The sequence below is a fragment of the Homo sapiens genome, chromosome 13 (genome assembly GCF_000001405.40).
Source record: "Homo sapiens chromosome 13, GRCh38.p14 Primary Assembly".
NCBI lineage: Eukaryota > Metazoa > Chordata > Mammalia > Primates > Hominidae > Homo > Homo sapiens.
In genome coordinates, this window is record NC_000013.11 from 47,856,836 (window position 1) to 47,862,913 (window position 6,078).

The window sequence follows — 6,078 nt, forward strand, 5'->3', positions numbered from 1 at the left end:
AGTAGTTTCAGTACTTGGCATTTTAAATAAAATACAGTTAGTGGATTGAAATGGTAATAGCCTGTCAGGATTCTTAAAATAAACGGGGCCTGGTAGGATAAATTACTTTATATGGAAATTACCTCCGAGTCTACTCTGATACATTACTGTTTTTGAACGTGTTGAGCAAGATTTAATAAAGCTAACTCCAGTAGAGTCTGATAGCCTATGTTTTCTTAGTGGTTCTTAAGGTTTAGTCAGCTTAAGAATCACCTGACTACTTGTTAAGTATGCCTATCTTAGTTCCTATCCCCAGAGACTTCTGAATCAATAGATCTGAGGTGGGACCCAGAAATCTACATTTTAAGGAGCATTTCCTCTCTTTAGTTGATTCTGACACAGGTAGTTTACAAAGCACTCTCTTAAGATAACCAGTGTGGGAGTCTATGGCTCGATCCACTATCCCAAAACCTCAGTGGGCGCACCAGCCAGGGATACCATGGAGAAGTTGGTAAGTCATAAGCACTGTGTGCAAGGACGGCTCCTACAGCACTCTTCAGATCCTCCCAGGCCTCACTTGTCACCAGTAACTTCAAACTAGCAGCTAGTAGCCTGTTCTCCATGAACTGTGACCAGATTGTGGGTCTGGGACATATGGTCAGCTAATCCATTGATTTTTTTTTTTAATTTAGAGAACTTGCAGTGACTCTCATACTGTACTGTGTAGGGAACAGTCTATTTCTAAGCAGTTTGGATATTTACAGGAAGTGTGATCTATAACGTTCCCCAGCCCGGTACCGGCGTTTGGAAGCCTCTGAATCAGCAAGTTATTTCTTTGACCTACCCTGAGCTTCTTTTTTTGGAAATTCACACCCAGTGAGAAAAAAATCCTAGGGTGGTGTGCTATGAGATTAATTGTAACTAATTTTGATTTTAATAACTATAAATACTAGGTCAACTGTAATAGCCATAACTGTGATACAAAAATAGTTTAGAGTTAAAAAGCCAATAAGGAAAGGGATATATGTATAAGAAACCAGGCAGGTAGAAAGCATTGAAAGAGAATATCAACAGACATTTGCTGAAGACATTGTGACCAGGGATCACAATCCATCAGGATTTCATCTCATGCCTGTGCCTCCCATTCTCACTTCCTGCCCTATGGTTGCACTGTTGGCATAGAGGCATGAGACATCGTGGGTCTCAGCGGCACCCATATACATGCAACCTGGACGTCCTTGGGGAATTAATGTCCCATGATGAAAATCTTGGATCCAGGGAAATGGAGACAGCAGATGACTTTTTAATAATTCTCCCTCAGTGGACGATCAAAAGAGGCAGTCCTTTCTATGACCTCCTGAAACATGGTTCCACTGAGATCAAGCGATGATCACAGTGGATACCTCAAATGGCTCTCTATCCCTGTCATTCCCTGTCTCTTCCTCTTGTTCCTCATGTGCTCTGGGGAATTGCACTCCTTGATAGCATAAGAGCACATAATCTTTGCCTCAGGCTCTGCTTTCTGGGGAACCCAAGCTAAGATACATTCTAGAATTTAGTTATTTAACTGTAGTGCAGCAAATAATTATAAATTCACAAGCTCCTCTGACTAGACCCATTCTTGCTTCACTGCACATGGCTGAGACCTCTGAACTTTGGACAGAACATTTCCACAAGGGACAAAGAAGATATTGAGAAGCCACATCCACCAATACCAGCATGTAGCCTTCATCTTTTGTGTATCTTTGCACTGCTAGCTAGCTAAAGAACCTTCGCCAAGTCTAATCTAAGTTGTCACTCTCACCATTCCCCAGACCTGGACTGACCAAGCTTTATAGTCTAGCACGGCTCAACTGGGTTACATCAACTTCAACTAGATTAAAAGATTTGTCTGTTCAGCTAGAATGTGATTTGAGTTAGAGATCCAGAACTATTATTCCAACAAAACTTAGTTCCATTTCTCAGCTGTATCCTTTTTATGACCTAGATTAGGACATCACTCCCACCACATTCTGTTAGTTAGAAGTGAGTCACCAAGTACAGCTTATGTTCACACTCACATGAACGGAAATTAGACTTCACCTTTTGTACGTAGGATTATCAAGGAACAGAAAGCCACCATCTGGCTTCGTGCTGGACAGGCTTACCAACATATTCACATTTCAGAAGCCCTAGTTAAACTGCCACTTCTCGAGGACAGAATTGTGACCACTTTTCAGTACAAAGCTGTACATACAGTAGACCCCAAATATTTGCTAAATAAATAATCAAAAAAGAAAAGGACTTGATCTTCATGGTCCCCTGCACTTCCATTATTTCAATCATCACTAGAACTAGGCATTTATTCACATCATAGCTATCAGTTCATATGCTTCATATCTTAACTGACATGCCAGGTAGAAAATTGAAGCAGTTAGCTAAATAACTCAGGCTAAAAGTATTTTCACTTCAATTACATGCAAAGATGATGCAGGAATTTTTGCCCATAGTGAGATTTTTTTTTTCCCACCAGAGGCAGCATACTTTCTCCTAAAGATTTTTCCTCCTTCAAGTCAACCTCAAATTTCTTCCAGATGGTTCTGAGAAATTCATAGCAGCAATTTGTCACCATTCCTTTTATTGAAGGTGTAACACACTGCTGCAGTTTTAACTAGTCCCAGGTCAGCAGTAACATATCAAGCACTAATGCCTTCGTTAGCTTCTTATAGGCTGTTGCTTCTGGAATTTCCAGGGACTGAGAACTACAGTGTCTCAACCAAAGAATCAGCAACCCCTTTAGAATCCGCAAGGAGATGTGTGGTGTGCATCAAGTATAAGAGGCCAAATGTATATGCTTTAAATCTATAGTACCTGAGGCCAAAAGCAGTTTTTAAAAATTATTCCATAGCTTTTTCAAGTACATTTATGATTTCATTGTTTGAGTTTAAATATTTTTAAAGTATTATACGAAATGCAGAAGCAGAAAGGATATTGTTGATATATTTAAACAAATGAAAGTATAACATTTCTACAAGGCAAAAATCCTCCATAATTAAAATCAAAAGACAAATAACAAATAAGAAAAAAATCTACAACTCATTTAAGTGACTAAACATTGCTTTTCTTAATATATGAAGAGCTTCTATAATTTAATAAAAAACAACAAGCCAATGAAAAAGTGGACAAAAGATATGAACTGATAGCTTAAGGTCAAGGAAGTGGAAGTGGCTCAAACATATAAACAGATGCCCAACCTTATACCTAATAAGAGAATGCAAGTTGAAAGAACACTAGGGCATCATTTTTACCTATTAAATTTGAAAATACGAAAAAAAGTTTGATAACATTCTGTTAGGGAAGGCGTAGGAAACAGGCACTCTTATATAGCTTGATGGTGGGAGTAAAAACTCCATGGAGACCAATGTGCTCACACTGATCTCTATTACAAATGTATGTGCCTTTTGGCCTCCATGAACCACTTCTAGGACTATGTCCTAGAGTTACTCCCATGCGAGTATAAAATGACAGATATATGAGCCTTCATTACAGCATGGTATAGAATATTAAAACCACTTAAATGTCTACCAAGAGCAGATGGGTTAAACAAAATAGTGCAAATGTGTGCAATGCAACACAGCTACTAAAAAACTAAGTACATCTTTATATACCAATATGGAGTAAGTTCCAAAACATATTGTTAAGAAAAAATTAAAAATAAAGTGCAGAACAATTTACATAGTATGTTATGTTTCTACCTTAAGAATATATATCAAAGCTATATTGAAACAGGGTTGCTGGGAGACAGAGATGGAAAGGAGATCTATTTTTTCATTTTGTTGCACTTAAACCTTTTATATTTTATATTATGAGAATGAATTACTAATTTAATTAATAAATAAAAATTTTTAAATCATGCACTGCCAGAATGTGGTTCTATAATGGGACAAAGCATAGACTTTTCAATTGACCCACCCCCCAATACAGCAAAAGCAGTGCTAAGAGGAAAGTTTATAGCATTACATGCCTACATCAGAAAAGTAGAAAGATTACAAATTAACAATCTAGCAACCCACCTCAAATAACTAAAAAAGCAAGAACAAACCAAACCCAAAATTAGCAGAAAAAAAAAGAAATAACAAAGATCAGAGCAGAACTAAATTAAATAGGACCAAAAAACAATACAAAGGATTAATGAAACAAAAACTTGGTTCTTCTAAAAGATAAAGAAAACTCATAAACCACTAGCTAGAAGAGAGAAGACCCAAATAAACAAAATCAGAAATGAAAAAGAAAACACTACAGCTGATACCAGAAATACAAAAGATTATTAGAGACTATCATGAAGCATTGTACACTCACAAACATGAAACCTGGAGGAAATGGATAAATTCCTGGAAACATAAATCCTCCCAAGATTGAGCCAAGAAGAAATAGAAAACCTGAACAGACAAATAACAAGCTGAGATTGAATCACTAATAAAAAAATCTACCAACAACAATAAAAAGCCCAGGACCAGATGAAGTCACAGCTGAATTCTACCAAACATACACAGAAGAACTAATACCAATCCTCCTAAAACTGTTCTAAAACATTGAGGAGAATGGAATTCTCCCTAACTCATTCTATGAGACCAGTATCAGCAAAACAAGACAAAGGCACAACAAAAAAAGAAAGACACACCAATATCCCTGATGAACATAGACACAAAAATCATCATCAAAATGCTAGCAAACAAAATCCAACAGGACATTAAAAAGGTAACACACTATGATCAAATGGGCTTTATACCAGGGACATAAGGATGGTTTGACATATGCAAATCAATAAATGGGATTCATCACATAAACAGAATGAAGCACAAAAGCCATATAGTCATCTCAATAGACACAGAAAAAGCATGTGATAGAATTTAGCATTCCTTCATGATAAAAACCCCCAAAAAACTAGGCACAAAAGGAACATACCTCAAAATACTAAAAGCCATATATGAAAATCCACAGTCAACATCATACTGAATAGGGAAAAGTTGAAAGCCTTTCTCCTCTAAGAACCGGAACAAGATAAGTATACCCACTTTCACCACTGTTCTGGCTAGGACTTCCAGTACATGCAACATAGTGCTGGAAGTCCTAGCCAGAGCAATCAGGCAAGAGAAAGAAAGAAAGGGCATCCAAATTAAAAAACAAGTCATATTACCCTGTTTGCTAACAATACAATCTTACATCTAGAAAAACCTAAAGACTCCACCAAACAACTCTTAGATTTGATATATGAATTTAGCGAAGTTGCAGGTTACAAAATCAACATACAAAAATCAGAAATGCTTCTTATTTTTGTATGTGGATTTTGTATCCTGCAACTTTACTAAATAATAATGGTCCAATAATGATCCATTAATGCCTCAATAATGACCTAGCTAAAAAGGAAATCAAGAAAGCAATTCCCTTTATAATAGCTGCAAAAAATAAAGTACCTAGGAATAAATTTAACCAGGGAGGTAAAAGATCTGTACAAGGAGCAAAACACTGATGAAAGAAATTGTAAATGACATAAACAAATGGGAAAATATCCAATGCTTGTGGACTAATATTGTTAAAATGACCATACTGACCAAAGCAATATATGAATTCAATGCAACCCCTATCAAAATACCAATATCGTTTTTCACATAATCAGAAAAAACAATCCTACAATTCAAATGGACCCCAAAAAGTATCTGATAGCCAAATCAATCCTAAGCAAAAAGAAAAAAGCTATAGTCACACTGCCTGACTTCAAATTATATGACAAGGATTTAGTAGCCAAAACAGCATGGTACTGGTATAAAATACATAGACCAATGGAACAGAATAGAGAACCCAAAAATAAAACCATATATTTACAGCCAACTGATCTTTGACAAAGCTGAAAAGAATATACATTGGAGAAATGACACTGTTTTCCTTTTTTTTATTATTATACTTTAAGTTCTGGGGTAAGTGTGCAGAATATGCAGGTTTGTTACATACGTATACACGTGCCATGGTGGTTTGCTGCACCCATCAACCCATCATCTACCTTAGGTATTTCTCCTAATGCTATCCCTACCCTAGTCCCCCACCCCCCAACAGGCCCCAGTG

At 36.7% G+C, this 6,078-nt stretch overlaps 1 annotated feature.

The window, feature by feature from the left end:
- Window positions 794-1,993: an enhancer, noted in NCBI's record as "CDK7 strongly-dependent group 2 enhancer chr13:48431764-48432963 (GRCh37/hg19 assembly coordinates)". NCBI's record gives its function as "activates an origin of replication core promoter dependent on BRD2, BRD4, P300/CBP, MED14 and CDK7 cofactors, with strong dependence on CDK7, by STARR-seq in HCT116 cells {active_cell/tissue: HCT116}" and the evidence as "EXISTENCE:reporter gene assay evidence [ECO:0000049][PMID:35650434]".